We start from the raw sequence: 22,124 nt of genomic DNA, 5'->3' as shown, positions 1-22,124 counted from the left end.
TGATTATGGTATGTTTAGGTGTGAATCTCTTTGAGTTTATCCTATTTGGAGTTTTTTGAACTTTTTGGATGTATTTATTAAAACTTTTAATCAATTTGAGAATTTGTTGGGTTTTATCTATTTAAATATTATTTTTGTCCTTTTCCCACTTTCCTCTGCTTTTGAAACTTCTGTTATGTACATATTAGTATGATTGTGTCCTAATGTCTCTGAATTTCTGGTCACTTTACTCATTTTTTACTTTGTGTTTTATACCGAATTTTCTCAGTTGACCTATCTTCAAATTCACTAATTCTTTCTTTTGCCAAATCAAATCTGTTCTAGAGCATTTCTATTAAATTTTTAATTTTAGGTATTATACTTTCCCACTTCAGAATTTCCATTTGGTTCTCTTTTACTATTTCTATCTCCTTATTCATATTTTCTCTTTTGATACATCATTGTCATACTTTTCTTTAATTATTTATACATTATTTTCTTTAGTTCTTTATATATATACATATAATAGGTGATTTGACATCTTTCTAAAGTCCAATATTTGGGCTTCCTCAGGAACAGGTTCTATTGATTACTTTTTTTCCGGTGTATTGGTCATACCTGTCTGTTACTTTGCACATTTTGTAACTTTTCTTAAGAACTCGATATTTTAAACAAAATAATGTTTCAATTCTATAAATGTAATTGAATATTCCCACAACTAGTGCCCTCCCAGCAAGAAATCATTGCTGATGTTTGTTTGCTTAATCATTATTTTGGACTAAATCTGAAAATTATATATTCTGTTGTGTACGGCCACTGAAGTCTCTGGTTGTTTGGCTTAGTGGTCGGCTAATTATTGGACCAAGATTTTTCTAAATCTCTTGATCCAGTAAGTCTCCCAGCCTTGGCCAGGCATTCTTCATGTGTTCAATAACACATATTTAACTCCTGCCAGTAGGATTACAACTCTACTTTAGCCTTCAATTCTTGCTAGTACGGAGCCTCTAAATCGGGGAGAGGGGGAAGATTACCCCCTTCTCATATCATTCTTGGATATATGTACAACCCTCTACATCTTTGTGGCCTTATGGATTTCCAGAAATATGTAGGCACTTTACAAAGCCCTTTATGGTCATTTTATTCTTCCATTTTCTTCTTCTTCTTTTTTTTTTTTTTAGCAGCTGATTGCTAGCCCCAACTGTTATTGCTTCCTCAGGTAGCTGTGACGTGAAACAACTGCCACTAATTTTTCATACAAATGTGCTGGAGATACAGCTGTACACACAGAGAGAATTCTAAATAGTATCAAATAAAGACAAACCTCGCCTGTAATCCCAGCACTTTGGCAGGCCGAGGCAGATGGATCATGAGGTCAGCAGTTTGAGACCAGTCTGACCAACATGGTGAAACCCTTTCTCTACTAAAAATACAAAAACTAGCCAGGCGTGGTGGCACATGCCTGTAATCCCAGCTACTCAGGAGGCTGAGGCAGGAGAATCACTTGAACCTGAGAGGCAGAGAGGCAGAGGTTGCAGTGAGCCAAGTTTGCGCCACTACACTCCAGCCTGGGCAACAGAGCAAGACTCCTTTAAAAAAAAAAAAAAAAAAAAAAAAGACAAGCCCCAAGGAGGAAGCTTTTCAGACAGGGCAAATAGTAAACATTCTCTGAAGATAGAATTCTGGGGGAGTTTGAAACCTCTCATCCCCTTATGTAGCTGCTAGGCCACTGCCTTTCACAGATAAGGCCGTTGATTTTCAAGTTTAGTGTGGAGCTACTATGGTAAGGGGCACGGGGATGGGGAACGCTTGCAGCTCACTGTTCTTACTGCAATTCAGATAATGCGCCTTTTTTTATTAGCAGAAAGGAAATTTATCCTTCCTCAAAATGTAGTAACAAGTATTTACTTAATTTACAGAATTCTGAAAAAGGTAATTTTAACATTTTTCGTCACTTATTTTCTTGCTTTTACGGAGGAGCAGATTGTTGGGTGTTCTTACCTCCTCCATTTGAAAAGTGATTCTCATAATGTTTGAGAAGTCTAACAGCATGGCTATTCAAAGATCATAAGGATTCTAAAACATGCTCAGTTAAGTCATTGACTACTTGAAATCAAACCATTCCAGCATTACGTTATCTCAATATGAGCATATCAGTTCTTATTTATTTTACCTTTACTTTTGATTTACCCCCTTGTTATTATTTTGAATATGTTTTAGAAGCAGGCAAAAAGAAATATGTCTGGAGGAGAAGTAATGTTGGATGGGTACATATGATGTGCAGGGAAGTTTGGAAGCCTTCCCTTCACAACATCTCTCTCACACAAAACACTACGCATGCACACACACACACACTTATCAGACAATGTAGCTCTGTTTCCACCTTCCCTTAAGTGGTTTTTTATAATTTAAATCTCCAGCTACCTGGGAGAACCATAACATAGGCCTTCTCAAATTAGTATTCTTTACATGACAATGATAGCTCAAAATATAAAGAAATAATAAAACTGAAAATGTCAAAATAAAATATTTTTCAAATATTTAAAAGAAAAAAACTTATAAATCCTTTATCAGCTGAATAGTCTAATAAACATAACAATTAATTGTTTTGAAAAGTTAACCCTTTTCTCATTCACCCCCAGAATACTTGCTGGTGACGGTTGCGGTTGCAGCGCTTACCCTGAGATAACTTTGCCATACAGTATCTTGCTTTTACTATTATTCTCTCATTGCCCTAGTATACCTACCTTGGAAACAGAAGACATTTTCTATTTATAGCATTCTGATTTTAGTAATGGTATTTCCATTTAAAAACACAGTAATTCTCGATTGCTGAAAATGTCAAATTCTAAAAAACATAGCATTCTTTTTTTTATTGTACTTTAAGTTTTAGGGTACATGTGCACAACGTGCAGGTTTTTTACATATGTATACATGTGCCATGTTGGTGTGCTGCACCCATTAACTCGTCATTTAACATTAGGTATATCTCCTAATGCTATCCCTCCCCCCTTCCCCCACCCCACATCAGGCTCCAGTGTGTGATGTAAAAAACGTAGCATTCTTACATGTGATGTTAACATCGTTCCCAAACAGTTGTTGGCCAAAGATTCAATTGATGAATCTGATTTTTCTGAAATAGATTATTCTGATGTTAGTTGTGTTTAGAAATAACTCCAAGAACAGTTTTTATATTTTATTTTCACATTGAAAGTCAGTCAGATTTGCTTCAGCCTTAAAGAGGGTGTTTGTGTAAAATTAAATGACCAAAACAGCATGGTACTGGTACAAAAACAGACACATAGACCAGTGGAACAGAGTAGAGAGCAGAGAAATAATGCCACACACCTACAACCATATGATCTTTGACAAAACTGACAAAAAAAAGCGGTGGGGAAAAGAATCCCTATTCAATAAATGGTGCTGGGGTAACTGGCTACCTATATGCAGAAGATTGAAATTGGACCCTTTAATTTTACCATACACAAAAAACAACTCAAGATGGATTAAAAACTTACATGTAAAACTTAAAGTAGAAAAACTCTGGAAGATAACCTATGAAATAGCATTCTGGACATAGGACCTGGCAAATATTTAATAATGAAGACACAAAAGGCAATGGAAAGAAAACCAAAAATTGACAAATGGGATCTAATTCAACTAAAGTGCTTCTGGACAACAAAAGAAGCTATTAACAGAGTAAATAGACAACTACAGAATAGGAGAAAATATTTGTAAACAGGGCATCCAACAAGCTTTAATACCCAGAATCTAAGGAATTTAGACAAATAAACAAGTTAAAAACAGCCCCATTAAAAAGTGGACAAAGATCATGAACAGACACTTTTCAAAAGAAGACATACACATGGCCCACAAACATATAAAAAAATGCTCAGCATCACTAATCATTAGAGAAATGCAAATCAAAGGCACAGTGAGTTACCATCTCACACCAGTCAAAATAGCTATTATTAAAAAGTCAAAAATAACAGAGGTTGGCAAGATAGTGGAGAAAAGAGAACGCTTATACACTGCTGGTGGGAATGTAAATTAGTTCAGCCATTGGGGAAAGCGGTTTGGTGATTCTCAAAGAACTTGAAACAGAGCTACCATTGGAACCAGCAATCCGATTACTGGGTATATACCCAAAGGAATATAAATTATTCTACCATAAAGACACATGCACGTGTATGCTCATTGCAGCACTATTCACAATAGTAAAGGCATGGAATCAACTTAAATGCCAATCAATGGCAGACTACATCAATAAAATGTGGTACATATACACCATGGAATACTACACAACCATAAAAAAGAACAAGAACATGTCCTTTGCAGGAACATGGGTGGAGCTGGAGGTTACTATCCTAAGTGAACTAACACAGGAACAGAAAGTCAAATATCACATGTTCTCACTCATAAATGGGAGCTAAACATTGAGTACACACGGACACAAGGAAGGAAACAACAGACACTGGGTCTTACCTGAGAGTGGAGGGTGGGTGGAGGGTAAGGATAGAAAAACTACCTATCAGGTACCATGCTTATTATCTGTGTGATGAAATAATCTCTGCACCAAATGCTAGTGACACACAATTTACCTATATAGCAAACCTGCAAAGATATCCCTGAGCCTAAAATAAAAGTTTTAAAAAAAGAATTTCACTTTGCTGCTTCTTGTTAATTTCACATGATTCTGCAGGCAAATCATTGCACAATATCACACTAATTCCTCTACTCTATAAACTATATAATTATTGCTAAAATGGTAGTCTAAAGCATTGTATCAGAGTATCATAAGCCATATTAAAATCTTATGATAAAGTAAAACAGAAGACACAAACCAGTCTTGCATTTGAATGTGTATACAAAACTCCTAAATAAAATACCAACTCACTGAATTCAACAGTGTAATAATCTGTACAATTTAGAGATGAAAAGATAGTTTCAACATTGGAAAATCTAATGCAATTTATTATCAGAATACAAGATGAAAAGCATTATAATTTGATAATGAAAGAACATCAGTGATGAAATTCAAAACAAATTTCTAATTTGAAAAAATACCTAAAATATAGGAATAGAAGAACACTATAAAGATATCTACTAGACACAGAGAACAATTATTATGCTAATGGAAAAACATTAAACATTTCCACTAACGACAATGGTAACACAAGCTGCTTGCTGCCACTACTGCTATACAGCTTCATTTTGATTGTATTAACCAATTCAATAAAATAAGAAAAATAAGTAAGAAGTATCAATACACAAAAGGCATAAATTAAAGCCATTGTTGTTTAGAGACAAAATATGCTAACAGAGAAAAGTCAAAAGGTAAAATAAATACATATGCACATATACAGAGAGAGAGAGAAACTTTTTATAAAAGTGATATCAACTCCAATTACAAATTCATAAAATTCTATTCACAGTAACAAAATAATAAAACATATATAAGAAGAACTACTTAATTAAGGAAATCCTCCATATTCTTCTATGAGAAGAATCAATATTGTGAAGCTGCCAGTTTAGCAGTTATTCTGTACATTTGTGGTATAGGCAACCTCTAATATAGTCCCTGACAACAGCCACCTCCTGGTTTTTATGTCCTTGTGTAGTACCCCCCACCCCGCCCACTGCTTTTACTGTGAACTGGACCTAGTCACTCACTTCTAATGAATGAAATATGGCACAAGTGATGTGTTGTTTCTTCTGACTTTAGATTACAAAAAAAATTCTGGTTGTCTCACTCCCTCTTTTTCATTCTGTGGCTGGTTCTGAGGGAGGTCCAGTGACCATGTTATATTCTGGTTTATTAAAGAGCAAAGGCAGCAAGAAACTGAGAGCAGCCTTTGGTTAACATTCAGAGATAAAATAAGGCCCTTGGTCCCATAGTCCATGAGGACCTGTATCTTGACACCCACAAGAGTGAGCATGGAATCAAATCCTACCCCACTCAAACCTTGAGATGACTGCAGTCCCAGCTGACACCTTGATTGCAGCCTTATGAAAGACCTTGAGGCAGAGGCACCCAGGAAAACTATCTTGGGGCTGACTCCTGACTCACAGAAACTCTGAGATAACATTTTTTCTATTTGATGAAGTTAATAGTGTAGTTGTTTTAAGTTACTAAATTTTGGAGTAATTTGTTACGTAGCAGTAGGTAAGTAATATAGAATCAAATACAAGAAAACCTTCTATGGAATTTTAAAAGCTAATATTAAATTGCATCTAGAAAAACGTTAAAGAATTACCATGACAATTCTGAAAAAAAAGGGCCATAAAAAGAGGGTTTGTTTCCAATCATGTGTTGTAAAATTAAACCATTAAAACAAGATGTCTCTTGATTTGGTATAGACACATAGATCAATGAAAAAGAATAAAGAGCTCAGAAACAAAGTATGCGCATTTAGAAATAAAGGGAGCATTTGAAATCAGGGAAATGACAGATGATTCAAGCAATAACTTTGAGACAGTTGAGTTTCATCTTGGAAAAAAAGATGAATAAAAAAGGCAACATCATAATATAAACCAAAAATTAATTCAAGGTGGATTAAAGTGCTGAAAGTTGAAAAGAGAACTATGTTTTATCAGTTGGTGAAGAAGTCCTTTCTAAATAAAACACAAAACCAAAAGACATAGAAAAAATCGGCATATTTGACTACATAGAAATGTAATTCTCCTGAATGGTTAAATATACTATTAACAGACTTAAAACAGGAGGTCCAGACTGGGACAAAATGTTTGGAAAATATGGAATAAAGAAGGGGTAATGGACATAATCTAGAAATGGATTCTACAAAAGAAAATAAATACGTCCATAAGATATTTTAAGAGACAATTCAAATGGATATGTATGTACGTACATTATATGTATATTGTGTGTGTACAGTTGATCTTTATTATTTATGATTTCATATTTGAGAATTCACCTATTCCCTAAAATTTATTTGGAACCCTCAAATCAAAACTCTGGCACCTGGTAGTGGGGTACCCTCAGGCAAGCCATTTAACATTCCTGAACATTTTCTCTCTTGCAAAATAAAAAATAAACAAAAAGAAGAATCTACTAGGATGAGTTGTTTTTTAGGATTTAAAATTATAATATATGTAAGATTATGTATCTATAAATATAGATACATAAGTATGTATATACTTTCCCGAGGATCAATGATTCAGTATTTGCTAATTCAGAATTTGCAACAATTTTATAGAATATAGATAACAGAGAAAATAAGAATGGATTCTGTGTGTGTGTACATATGTATAATAAACATGTAAAATTGCTCAACCTCACCTGTAATAATGGAAATGCATGTAAATATCATGATATATTTTACTAGTAGATTAATAAAAATTAAAGATCGGTAATTTAAAATATAAAAATATGAAGAAAGTCTTATCAAGTCTTATCAACTGTTGAGAGAGGACACTAATACAAATTTGTCACAGATCATTTTACAATATTTATTAAAACCAATCAGTTACTTAGAAATTCATCTCGCAGATAGTATAAGGATTTCTTTAGATTTTTTTGTAAACAAAAAAAGTAAAAATAATCCAAATATCTATCAGTAGGGAATGGTTTAAATTATTTAGGCACATTCCTACTCAAAAATACCATAAAAAATAAGAAAACTAAAAGGTGTATACAGCAAAGTATTGATGTTCATTTTATTATCAAGTGAAAAATAAACTGGCTGTGGACTATTTATAATATATACATATGCAATGTGTACTTCTTTTATGTACACATGCATACACATGCATCCAAGATATAAATATATCATTGTGTAAATATATAGGAAAAGACCTTGAAGGATACTATCCAAATCGTTAATGGCAGTTACCTGCAGTAAGGCAGTGGAATTTTATTGCGGGCGATCCAGGTGACCCTGAGATTTTGTTTTTGCTTTTGTTGCTGTTTTTCATGTAATATTATTATTCTTGAATATTTTCACTTCCTTAAAGGGAGTATTCATCCTTGTATTACTTTCATAATTTAAGTTTTATTTGCCACTTAACACTCAAAAATTTCACCCACATAAACATGTCACAATTTTCAGTTTATCTTATACTTCTTAACCTAGAAAAATTTTTATTTTCCTATTGTTATCTCCATTGCCTATTTAGTATAAAAGTGACTGCTACATTTCAATAGCAGTGAATTGGTTTCCTTTCCTCTATAAAGTTAACACTATAAAGATGTATGAAACCCAGTGCCCACTAACCAATCCAAAACTTCCTAAATGGACATAGAATGTATTTCTCCCTTATAAAAACTTGGCGGAACTCCTCTAATTTGTTTATTGAGGAATATTTAGGCATCGGGCAACTCTGTTCAAATTTAGGCAAAACTTCCAAAACGGATTTGATTCATTCAGAGGCTATAAATTGTTCCAGTAGAAGTAGCACTAGCTTTATTTTTCCTAATGAAATATCATGTCATACATGGCAACAGAAAATATGCTATTTTGCAAGCCCCAAAGTAACTGTTACATGTGTCTAAAAGATCACTTAATTTATTTTTAATGATTCAAATCTTTTCTCAGGGTCAAAGGCGTCTTTTACATTAACTTGCTTTTACAAGTTAATGTTTTGAAGGAAACAGTAAAAGTCAAGTTGCTTGGGAGTACATTAAATTATATGCTAGTTAATAGTGTTAGAGACATGGCTTAAAAATAAATTGTCCATAATACCTTTTAATAAAGGTGCTAAATGTACTTTTTTATTCTGTGTTAAAAGCAGATGCCTATTTGGCACTGTTTGGAATCCCATTTGCCTTGTATATTTTGATTAATATTATGCTGGGTAATCAGTACTATGTGGTCTAGGTTCAGTAACCTCACTGTAAAATAATGAGCCTTCAAGAATAAAAAATATGCTCACTATAAAGTTGCATATTCTGAGAAGCAATGAACATATTCAAATGAAATGAAAAAAATGAGGTTTTCACCCAGTAAATTTGCTCGAAGTGAAACTTACATTTCTCAATTTGTATTTAGCTGTCAGTCTGTGCACTAAAAACTGGACAAGCTATCAACCTTTTGCATATGTTTTCTATAAATACCTTTTCTCCTCTGATTCAACTGCCATAGGACTCTGCAGAAGTAGTGGTCTTAAGGGAGCTTACAGCAACTGGGATGCAGCCAATGGCAGTGAGTTCACACAGTAAGTGGAATCTTCAGAAAAGGACCAATGCTCATATTTTATGAAATACGTAACATGCTTTACCCAGAGTTGTCAGAAGAGATGAATTTCAGCCAATGCAAGGTAATAAATAGTAATGTGCACTGCATATATTTGACTTATAACCCTTGGCATTTTGAAACAAAATTCTTTTGAAGAATTCATTTTATACATCATAAACTTTTCTATTGTTTTTCCTGTTTGGGCTGTCTTTGTTATCAAAATTCTTATGAAAGTATTATTCAAAATTGTAAATGAAGCAATATTTTTGAGAGTATACACCTAGGACTTTCTTTCGAGGCACTGCTTGAAATAGGAAAGTTAGTAGTGTAGCAAATGGTTGGTTTCATTAAATCAGAACCTAGAAAGAAAAAACTTAGTAAGTTGTGTGTCCATAATTACAGGAAATTCATTGTTAGAGTTTAATGCTCTTTGCTTTCATGAAGCACTTAATATCTTTGGGAAACAGAATAAATGGTTTTGCCATATTTATTTTTACATACTTGAAATAAAATGTAAAGTCTCAGCTACTGTACAGATGAGAATGTTTTCATTCAAGACAGAACATTTTCCTTTAAAACTAAATGTAGCTTATGTAGCTTACCTCCTCCATAATCTTCTTTTGAACTAAAAGGCATTACATTTTAATGATCATGGTCTAAGAGCTAATGAATGCCTTACTTTGCTTTTATCCAATGGGTGTTTGTTACAAGATCATTTGGATAGTCATTTGTAGCTTTACATTTCAGTTTACATTTTCTCTTTGTTTCCTCCCCACGCATAAACACACAGATATTTTTGGGGATTCTTACATGATATCGTAATTACAAGTATCAAATTAATGTGCAGTGTCACATTATAATCATACGTAAAGCACATAATTTTAAAATCTGCCATTCACATGCAAGAGTATGTATTTTCAAATAATATCCACAAAGAGATTTTACTACTTGTTTATGTTCATAAAACACAAAAAAGGTGAAGGAACACCCCCTCCCTTCCAAGCACACACTGTTTTGCTAAATACACATATACTTTCCACGTAATATGAACACTGCCCCCAAAACTGTGCCTGGTTTTTCACTAGCGATTCTATTCTGAAGTTTCTCCTGGCACATCCTTTTGAGTTCACAAAGGAAACTTGAAGCTGGCCCCTGTAACAAGGCCCCAGAGACTTTGCATTTGCAGTAGCTTCTTACATCTCAATAACAGAAAACAAGACTTGGGAATAGATATATCTTCTCAATCTCATGAGAAGTGTGAAGGCTACTACTTGAATTATTCATTGAACAGGGAATAGAAAGATTATGTGACCACAGCCCACCTTTGCAACTGAACATTTTAACATCATTATAAAAAACATGTATTATGCGTCTCTGATGGTACTGAGCCAGGCACTGTACAAACTGAATTTATGAGAATTGTCCTCTATAAATTCCAGATAAGACATAACTGAATAACTGCAAGATCAATAATGAACATCAGTTATGTAAATTTTATAAAATGTCTATAAATACGTTAGCCAGAGGTGAAAATGTACATACTGTGTTCAATTAAACAAGGTTTTGGTTTTCATTTGCTTTTTTATATCAGCTTTCCTAGACTAGGAAGCAATAGAATAAAGATTGTAATAATTAAGAGAAGAGTCAGAACAAAGAATAATCTGTACTCTCCCATCTTAATTTGTTACCAAGCACCAAAATTCCAGAATTTTACATATAAGTAAATTATTTCAAACTCCACCATGGTTACTATGAAAGGGTTTTGACATAGATCAGCTATTTAACTTTGTATAAGCTTCCCTAATTGAAGATAAATAGAAAAGGGAAGTTAAGAAGATTGCGCTTCTGTTGACACTCAGATTAGCTAATAATTTGTTACTCCTATTTAGCTAAGCCATGAAATACTGTTCTCAGAACAGTAGAAGTTCTGCAGTAGGTGCATTTAAAGGTTGTTTTCTCAATTTAATGAGCCATTTACTTAAAGCCTAATAACTAAGCCAGAATTTTTTTTAATTCACCTGCTTCATGTTGTCACTATGCTGGGCAGTATAGAAACAGATGAACAAAGTACTGCCTCTGCTTTCAATTAGCTCCTAATCTAATAATCAGAGAATAGTAAAGAGAATCAGTCAAATAATGAATGATTTTAATAAGGCACAATGAGTGCTGGCTATGCTGAGAGAATTCAGAGAACTACCCAGCCCAGACTGAAGATACACAGACTGTTTTTCACAGGACAGTCACAAAATATGGAGACACAGAGAGAAAAACAAAGGGGAAGGAGTGGAGCATGAGGGTAAGGCTAAGGGTAAGGGCAGCAGGGATCAGAGGAGCATTACACACACACATACACAAAAAATAGTTTGCAAAGTCTAAGAGGCACATAAGAAATTTCTAAGTACTGCATGTGGGGAAGGGGAAGGAAATGGCAAGATACGGTCAACAGGAAGCTTATCAGGAGGAGACTTGTGTTTAAGGCAAAGAGGCTTACATTTAATCATAATCAATAAAGGGAATCATTAAAGAATATTAAGCAAGGGGGAGAAGTGATCAGATGATCGTTTTAGAGAAATAACTCTGCTAGCAGAAAAGGGGACTAATTGGAACTGCCAAAAGATCATCTGGGAAACCTCAGGTGGCAAGATGTGGTTTGGGAGACGAAAAGTCTAAGGTTTTTGATATTGTTCTTGCTCTTGTTGTTAGGAGGTGTTTCTACAACGTGGCAGCCATTCTTGCCCATGCAGTAGTTTGCAAAGCATATTCATATCCAACATTTGGCATTTCGACTAAAAAGATTGGCATAGCCTTGGAAAAAGTGAACCTTTATAACCAAGAAGTCTGCTGTGGCTCTCATTCCAAATAAAAACATTAGGAATATGTTTAAACCAAAGTTTCTTTTAAAAAAAAATAGGGATATATTTTTGGCCGGGCACGGTGGCTCACGCCTGTAATCCCACCACTTTGGGAGGCCGAGGCGGGCGGATCATGGGGTCAGGAGATCGAGACCATCCTGGCTAACACGGTGAAAACCCGTCTCTACTAAAAATACAAAAAATTAGCGGGGCATGGTGGCAGGCGCCTGTAGTCCGAGCTACTCGGGAGGTTGAGGCAGGAGAATGGCATGAACCCGGGAGGTGGAGCTTGCAGTGAGCCGAGATAGCGCCACTGCACTCCAGCTTGGGCAACAGAGCTAGACTCCGTTTCAAAAAAAAAAAAAAAAAGGGATATATTTTTATCCTAAATCCTCCAGTTAATTAGATAAGTCTACAATCTCAACTCTTGAATTATCTTTCAATACCAAGTACAAAGAAGGACATTTTGGAATAAACAAAAATTGAGAGAGTAGTAAAGCATGGTACCAGACCCTCACTAAAGGAAATTTTAAGATGGACTTTAGGAAGAAAGAAAATCAACCTAGAAAAAATGGTGACTCTATAGATAAATATAAAATACTGTTGATGGCATTAAATAATAATAATGTCTAGTTTAGGAGGTTACAAATGGGGAAAAAATCAAGATAGTGCAAAAATCCTAAAGAACAATCCATAAGAGGAAGGATGATGGGACTTAAAGCATTCCACACTCTTATTTAAGAGTTAGACTGGATATAAACAAAATCCCACTATATATTGCTTCTAAGAAGTATTTGTAAACATGACACTGAAAGATAGAAAGTAAAATGATGAAGGAAGTATATCTGAAGAAAATAGTTGTTCACTGTGAAAACCTGGTATAACCATTTAATTTTAGACAACATAAACTTCGGGGCAAAAGAATTAGTAGAGATAAAGAAAAACTACATATGTGATATGCTTTAATTTACCAATAAGATATAATAACTCCAAATTGGTGTACATCTAAAAACATAGCTTCAAAATATGTAAAGCAAAAGAAAATTTGGCAACCACAAAAATAAATTGACAAGCCCGTGACCAGAATAGATTTTAACACAGCTCTTTGTATACGACTGAAGTTAATAAACTAAGCATCAAACATAAGGAATTCGTAGAAAAATGACATAATGAACCCAAGAAAAGCAGAGATAAGGAAATAATAAAGATAATATGACAAATTAATAAAATATAAAAGGAAAACACAATAGAGAAAATTAAAGAACAAAGTCAAAAGTCTGGCCTGTAAAAAGACTCTGTAGTAGAATTGAGAATTATTTGGCAAGACTAATTAAAGAGAATAAAACAAAATATAACAATCAAACAATATTAGGAATTAAAAAAATGATACGAACACAGGTGTAGTAGAGATTGTTAAATAATCTCTACTAAACATGACTAATATAACATGACTACAATAAACATGACTAAAAATTTATCCCAATATACTTAAAAAATACACAAAAACTCCACAGATTTCCAAACAAATTTTTATTACCTCATTCAATATGAACTAGAACTTAAAGAGTACTATAACCAAAAAGAAAAATAATAAGTAATTCAATAGTTTTCTGCAAAGAAAGCCACAAATAGTTTTGTAGGAAAGTTTACTAAACATGCAATGAACAAGTATTTCAATCTTCTACAAATTATTTTATAGAATAGGAAAAACAGAAAGAATCTCAATTAATTCTATGAGCAGGATCCACTTTGAACACAAAATTAGATCCTTGCTAAAAAATTAAAGACCTTTCTCATAAACGAAAATTGATTCCTGGCCGGACAAGGTGGCTTACGCCTGTAATCTCAGCACTTTGGGAGGCCGAGGTAGGAGGGTTGCTTGAGCCCAGTAATTCAAGACCAGCCTGGACAACATGATGAAACCCCATTTCTGCAAAAAATACAAAAATTAGCTGGATGTGGTGGCTCATACCTGTAATCCCAGCTGCTTGAGAGGCTGGGGTGGAAGGATCATCTGACTAATGGGAGGTCGAGGCTGTAGTGAGTCATGATCACACTTCTGCACTCCAGCCTGGGTGACAGAGTGAGACCCTGTCTCAAAAAAAAAAAAATTCTAAGATTTTGAAAATGTGAACTGAGTGTGCATCACAGCATTATTCAAAATAGTGAAAAACTATAAATCAAATATACATAGAAAAGAGAATAGATAATTCGTAGCATATTCATATAATGAAGTCTAGGGGTGTATATGATAAAGCTATAATAGAAAAGAGAGAAACTATTAATAGCGCAAACTTCAAAATAACAGTAATCTCAGTAAAAGAGGGGAATGTGATCAAGGAGAATACACTAAGCTTCAAAGGTATGGGTACTATTTTATTTTATTTTTAAGCTGATTCGTAGGTATATAGATATGCATTTTGTGTATGCTATTTAGAAAATATTAAATACCACATATGAAAATTTAAATTTAGTGGGTATCTCATTCTCTATCCATGCTATAAAACTAAACACATGATTATTTGTGATATTCTTATATACATCTATGTTAACACTTTGTTAATTTTATCATTCCTCTTGTTCTTAACTAGAGTATAAGCCTGCTTTACTCTATATTGTCTTGTTCAATTATTAAACTCTTGGGCATGGAGGTCCTCGATGAATAGGCATCAGCTGATTTACTAATCAGAGGTTGATATGTAATAATATTAAGGATACAGTTGTCTCAGCCAAATCTCTACAGCATTTAACCTAACCTTACATTCTTAAATTTTTTAATTGATAATTAACTATGCTCAGCATATGTTTTGCATATTATTCACCATTTTCTTGCCTGGAGTCTGATTTTAATATACCTTTAATAAACAACTCCCACCTTCAAAATGATTGTGTCCTGCATAAAAACCACATAGGCCCTAAGTAATTAATTTACTGTTGGGCTAAGTACAATATTGAGCTAGTATTTTCTCTCCAAAGAGTCCTGGACCCAAGAGCCCTTCAGTTTTACAATTTGTTGAGTTATAACAGCGATTTTACCTGAGCTGATTTTTCTAAAAAAAGAAAAAGAAAAAATAAAAGAAGCTTTGCTAAAATAAATGCATATTTAACCCCTACCATAGTGTCCACTTACAAAGGCATTTAAACCACTGTTTAATGAAACTCTTTTCCTTTCTTTATTTTTCTCTTGTATATGTTTAGAAATGCTTCCTACTATAATGTTTCAAATGCTTTCAATAACAATGATATCACTTTTATGTACTGTTAAGTCCAAATGGAAAAAGGCAATGTTTATAAAATATCTTCTTAAAGTTTTTCAAATAATAGACTATTATTGCTTCTGGTACACTTATGGAATTCAAAAATCTCTAAAATATAATAGATATCAACCAAGATTACCATTACACTGGCAAACTATCCATGTTAAAACATAACTTTTCCCAAAGAATTTGACAAATATTATATTTGGGTGCTTAATTTATTGTCCCGGGATAATGAAAGTATTTTATTTTCTCAAAAGTTAAAAATTCTATTTTTAAAAATAATGCCAATATGAGAACCTACATCCATTTATGATCCTTGCAATGGCTACAGTGCCCCTGTGGTATCTTCAACATATTGTTGGACACTTTCAGTTCTTCTTCTTTATGCACATGAAAAGAATTTTAAAATAAATGTGCCCTTTAATAAGCCATATTATAGAGTGTGAAGTAGAATTATTTCAACATAATCTTGACAAACATGTTTGCTAAATTTATTTTGTCTTGTAAACATTGAATACAGGAACTGCTGGCTTTTATTATCACTTACCTTTTATCAGTAATACTTTCATGTGTTTTGCCATGATAATAACCATTTGAAAATTGTATATAGCATAATTGTGCTTTCTAGTGTGCGGTGCACAGTAAGCACTAAAAAGCAGTAGGACTGTCTACCTTCTTATTTGATTTCATCATAACTACCATGGAGATTTTTTTAAAAAGTTGTACCTCTTCTCTCCACCAAGATCTCAGCGATTAGTGCAGCTTATACTTATGGTCTGTGCCTTAAACAGAATACATCTGATATAAAGGAGAATCAATGTCCTACTAAAATTCACAATATGAACTTTAACTCCAAAATTTGATTTAAGAAAAGCATTATGTCTGTGGCATTAAGCAGAAACATAGAACTAGAGGCTCATAATAGAGTTGTGTTAAACATAGTATCATTTTGGTTATCACCCAAATTCCACCGGCCAGTTTTCATTACCAAAATAACTATGCCAACTATGAAATACACACATGTACATATATAATAGAGAACTGCATTTACATATATGCACACAAACATGCACATGTAGGTTGAAGGGAGTGCTCAGTGGTACAGTTTCATGGATGTTTCCTATGGCAATCTCTAATGTGCCCAGATAGGTATTGTGCCTGAGTAACTCATTACTCGTTGTGGTGGATTCACTCCCATCTGTGACCAATGTTTACAGTTTGATGCATATAAGAAAAAGGATTCAGTCATGATATTAGCTGATGAATTTCATGATGGTCATCATCAAAGACCACAGGCATCCATTTCATGAATGCATGCTATGTTTTTTTAAAACAAAATACACAAAAGACATAGGGTCTTATACAAATGCATTTTTCTCAAGGAAGATGCCTCTGACTTTCTAATCTAGGTTATAAGATTCTTACATTGAGAGGACTCTCAAAAAAAACTTGCATGAGAGTGAGGGAAACAGGACAGCGAAAGAGAGGAAGTTCAGCAAAGAATGGTTGGCATAAAGTTGAGCTTCGACCTGATCCCACAGAGGAGCTCCAAAACATAAGTTATCCCACAGAGTATATCCTACCTTAAAGTAGTTATTGGACTTCTGTACACAGCATCGGTTATTGGATACAGGCTTCCTCAAGGCAGGGAGGTCGGGCTTAATTCCTAGGCTCTCCAAATAAGATGACTCCACTATCCTAAGAGCAACACTCCAGAAAAGGTTACAGATGTGTGTCATTGCAGCAAAATCCCATCATGATGCTGAGAGTAGACACACCAAACCAATAAGGGTTCCCAGGGAATCTAAGCATGGCACCAATGAGTCTGTGGCAACTGGTTTTCTCCTCTAGAAACTATAAGCTCAGTAATAACAACTGTAGTTTCAGTCTTGTTTAGGATCTGAATGATATCAGACACATACTAGAGATGCAAGATATGTTTATGATAAAATGAATAAATAAATGAATCAATGGCATTAGCAATCATGCTTTTACCTACTGTAAATTCACTGTCATTTTAATGAGAATTGGCCCTGTATGCAGGTTGAATTTACCAAAGTTCCATCGTAACATTTCAGTGTAAAGAAAAGCTCACCAAATTAGAATATACATCCAGAATTGTTACTACAATTTTCAAGTTAACCTTTATTTTTCAAAATCTGTTGACTCAGTATTTAGGTCAATACATTACTTTTGTAAGTAATCAGGACATAAATGATACCTGTTTATCAAGCAAATAGGTACACAAAAAGGCAAAGAGATCTACAAGTCAGAGAAATGTATTGTCTTGTAATGTTAACATTAGCAAGCCAATGAATTGGTTAATTTATGTGATTAACCTTTCACTATCCACTGTTAATGATTAGTGGCACATATACTTGTTTATTTGCAATATTAATGTAATGCATTATATACTGTTTTTCACCTAGAATTATGTCATAAACAATTTGGTTTTTCTACAGGTCCTTCATATTTATAGTAATGGATATACAACACATACATGTAAACAGAACATATACGTATGCATGTATATTCTAATAGATTGTACTATATGTTAGTAAAATATTTTCTTTTATTCATGTTTTACTATCATTACTAGAGCAACAGTGAGCATATTTAAGTGTATTTAAGCTTCTGTTAGATTGCTTATGTGGGATAAAATTAGGAATGAAAATATGATATTCAAGTCTCAAGCAATTTAATTTCTCTGCCATATTACTTTTCAGAAACTCTGTATGAAATTACAGAGTTGGCAGTAATAAAAAAATGGCAATTTCTTTGAAGTATTGCCAACATTGAATGTTTTGTTTTTTGTTTGTTTCTTTACTACCCTTACTGTGGAAAAAAAAAATCTTAAGATTGCCTTATTTTATATTTTTTTGATAACTACAGAAGCTAGATTTTTGTCCCATTTATTTATCCATTGTATTTCCTATGTATAAACTATGATATTGTTTGCCCATTAATTTACTTGGGATCTTGAATTTTTTCTACTAATTTGAATACATATTATCTTAATCATATTGAGGAAAATATCTATAACATGCAACAAACAATATTATTATTCAATATTATTATAAAATAATATTTAGGTTATATATTTCTTATTTCCCAGAAACTTAATGTGCATATATATTTCATCATAATTTCTCCTACTAATTCAAAACAAAAAAATTATTCTACCAAGTTATTTTTAATTTCTGAACCCCATTACTTGCTAATTTTTCTCTTGTTTAATGCTCATTTTTAACTATTGAACGCACCTATCATTATTTTATTTTATTTTGTTTATGTTTTCATAATACCATCTGTTAAAGAGACTATCTTCTCCCCATTGTGCATCTTGGCACCATTTTTGAAAATCAATTGACTGCATATTATATTGTGACGATTTTTCACTGGACTTGTACTAGGCAAAATTCTTATGCATTATGTTAGCCTTTTGGAACCGTTATCTTTTTTCCTTTGACAAGTTTCCTGTTTGCCTTTCTTTAAAACCATTACTTTTTTTTTTAATTATTATTATTATTATCATACTTTAAGTTTTAGGGTACATGTGCACAATGTGCAAGTTAGTTACATATGTATACATGTGCCATGCTGGTGCGCTGCACCCACTAACTCGTCATCTGGCATTAGGTATATCTCCCAGTACTATCCCTCCCCCCTCCCCCCACCCCACAACAGTCCCCAGAGTGTGATGTTCCCCTTCCTGTGTCCATGTGTTCTCATTGTTCAATTCCCACCTATGAGTGAGAATATGCGGTGTTTGGTTTTTTGTTCTTGCAATAGTTTACTGAGAATGATGATTTCCAATTTCATCCATGTCCCTACAAAGGACATGAACTCATCATTTTGTATGGCTGCATAGTATTCCATGGTGTATATGTGCCACATTTTCTTAATCCAGTCTATCATTGTTGGACATTTGGGTTGGTTCCAAGTCTTTGCTGTTGTGAATAATGCTGCAATAAACATATGTGTGCATGTGTCTTCATAGCAGCATGATTTATAGTCCTTTGGATATATACCCAGTAATGGGATGGCTGGGTCAAATGGTATTTCAAGTTCTAGGTCCCTGAGGAATCGCCACACTGACTTCCACAATGGTTGAACTAGTTTACAGTCCCACCAACAGTGTAGAAGTGTTCCTATTTCTCCACATCCTCTCCAGCACCTGTTGTTTCCTGACTTTTTAATGATTGCCATTCTAACTGGTGTGAAATGGTATCTCATTGTGGTTTTGATTTGCATTTCTGTGATGGCCAGTGACGGTGAGCATTTTTTCATGTGTCTTTTGGCTGCATAAATGTCTTCTTTTGAGAAATGTCTGTTCATGTCCTTTGCCCACTTTTTGATGGGGTTGTTTGTTTTTTTCTTGTAAATTTGTTTGAGTTCATTGTAGATTCTGGATATTAGCCCTTTGTCAGATGAGTAGGTTGCGAAAATTTTCTCCCATTTTGTAGGTTGCCTGTTCACTCTGATGGTGGTTTCTTTTGCTGTGCAGAAGCTCTTTAGTTTAATTAGAACCCATTTGTCAATTTTGGCTTTTGTTGCCATTGCTTTTGGTGTTTTAGACATGAAGTCCTTGCCCATGCCTATGTCCTGAATGGTAATGTCTAGGTTTTCTTCTAGGGTTTTTATGGTTTTAGGTCTAACATGTAAGTCTTTAATCCATCTTGAATTGATTTTTGTATAAGGTGTAAGGAAGGGATCCAGTTTCAGCTTTCTACATATGGCTAGCCAGTTTTCCCAGCACCATTTATTAAATAGGGAATCCTTTCCCCAATGCTTGTTTTTCTCAGGTTTGTCAAAGATCAGATAGTTGTAGATATGCGGCGTTATTTCTGAGGGCTCTGTTCTGTTCCATTGATCTATATCTCTGCTTTGGTACCAGTACCATGCTGTTTTGGTTACTGTAGCCTTGTAGTACAGTTTGAAGTCAGGTAGTGTGATGCCTCCAGCTTTGTTCTTTTGGCTTAGGATTGACTTGGCAATGTGGGCTCTTTTTTGGTTCCATATGAACTTTAAAGTAGTTTTTTTCAATTCTGTGAAGAAAGTCATTGGTAGCTTGATGGGGATGGCATTGAATCTATAAATTACCTTGGGCAGTATGGCCATTTTCACGATATTGATTCTTCCTACCCATGAGCATGGAATGTTCTTCCATTTGTTTGTATCCTCTTTTATTTCCTTGAGCAGCAGTTTGTAGTTCTCCTTGAAGAGGTCCTTCACGTCCCTTCTAAGTTGGATTCCTAGGTATTTTATTCTCTTTGAAGCAATTGTGAATGGGAGTTCACTCATGATTTGGCTCTCTGTTTGTCTCTTGTTGGTGTATATGAATGCCTGTGATTTTTGTACATTGATTTTGTATCCTGAGACTTTGCTGAAGTTGCTTATCAGCTTAAGGAGATTTTGGGCTGAGACAATGGGGTTTTCTATATATGCAATCATGTCATCTGCAAACAGGGACAATTTGACTTCCTCTTTTCCTAATTGAATACCCTTTATTTCCTTCTCCTGCCTCATTGCCCTGGCCAGAACTTCCAACACTATGTTGAATAGGAGTGGTGAGAGAGGGCATCCCTGTCTTGTGCCAGTTTTCAAAGGGAATGCTTCCAGTTTTTGCCCATTCAGTATGATATTGGCTGTGGGTTTGTCATAGATAGCTCTTATTATTTTGATATACATCCCATCAATACCTAATTTATTGAGAGTTTTTAGCATGAAGCGTTGTTGAATTTTGTCAAAGGCTTCTTCTGCATCTATTGAGATAATCATGTGGTTTTTGTCTTTGGTTCTGTTTATATGCTGGATTACATTTATTGATTTGCATATATTGAACCAGCCTTGCATCCCAGGGATGAAGCCCACTTGATCATAGTGGATAAGCTTTTTGATGTGCTGCTGGATTCAGTTTGCCAGTATTTTATTGAGGATTTTTGCATCAATGTTCATCAAGGATATTGGTCTAAAATTCTCTTTTTTGGTTGTGTCTCTGCCTGGCTTTGGTATCAGGATGATGCTGGCCTCATAAAATGAGTTAGGGAGGATTCCCTCTTTTTCTATTGATTGAAATAGTTTCAGAAGGAATGGTACCAGTTCCTCCTTGTACCTCTGGTAGAATTCGGCTGTGAATCCATATGGTCCTGGACTCTTTTTGGTTGGTAAGCTATTGATTATTGCCACAATTTCAGATCCTGTTATTGGTCTATTCAGAGATTCAACTTCTTCCTGGTTTAGCCTTGGAAGAGTGTATGTGTGGAGGAATTTATCCATTTCTTCTAGATTTTCTAGTTTATTTGCATAGAGGTGTTTGTAGTATTCTCTGATGGTAGTTTGTATTTCTGTGGGATCAGTGGTGATATCCCCTTTATCATTTTTTATTGCATCTATTTGATTCTTCTCTTTTTTTTTCTTTATTAGTCTCGCTAGCGGTTTATCGATTTTGTTGATGCTTTCAAAAAACCAGCTCCTGGATTCATTAAGTTTTTGAAGGGTTTTCTGTGTCTCTATTTCCTTCAGTTCTGCTCTGATTTTAGTTATTTCTTGCCTTCTGCTAGCTTTTGAATGTGTCTGCTCTTGCTTTTCTAGTTCTTTCATTGTGATGTTAGGGTGTCAATTTTAGATCTTTCCTGCTTTCTCTTGTGGGCATTTAGTGCTATAAATTTCCCTCTACACACTGCTTTGAATGCGTCCCAGAGATTCTGGTATGTTGTGTCTTTGTTCTCATTGATTTCAAAGAACATCTTTATTTCTGCCTTCATTTCGTTATTTACCCAGTAGTCATTCAGGAGCAGGTTGTTCAGTTTCCATGTAGTTGAGCGGTTTTGAGTGAGATT

Source organism: Homo sapiens, chromosome 5, assembly GCF_000001405.40.
Source record: "Homo sapiens chromosome 5, GRCh38.p14 Primary Assembly".
NCBI classification, from domain to species: domain Eukaryota; kingdom Metazoa; phylum Chordata; class Mammalia; order Primates; family Hominidae; genus Homo; species Homo sapiens.
Note: the sequence above shows the minus strand (reverse complement) of the source record.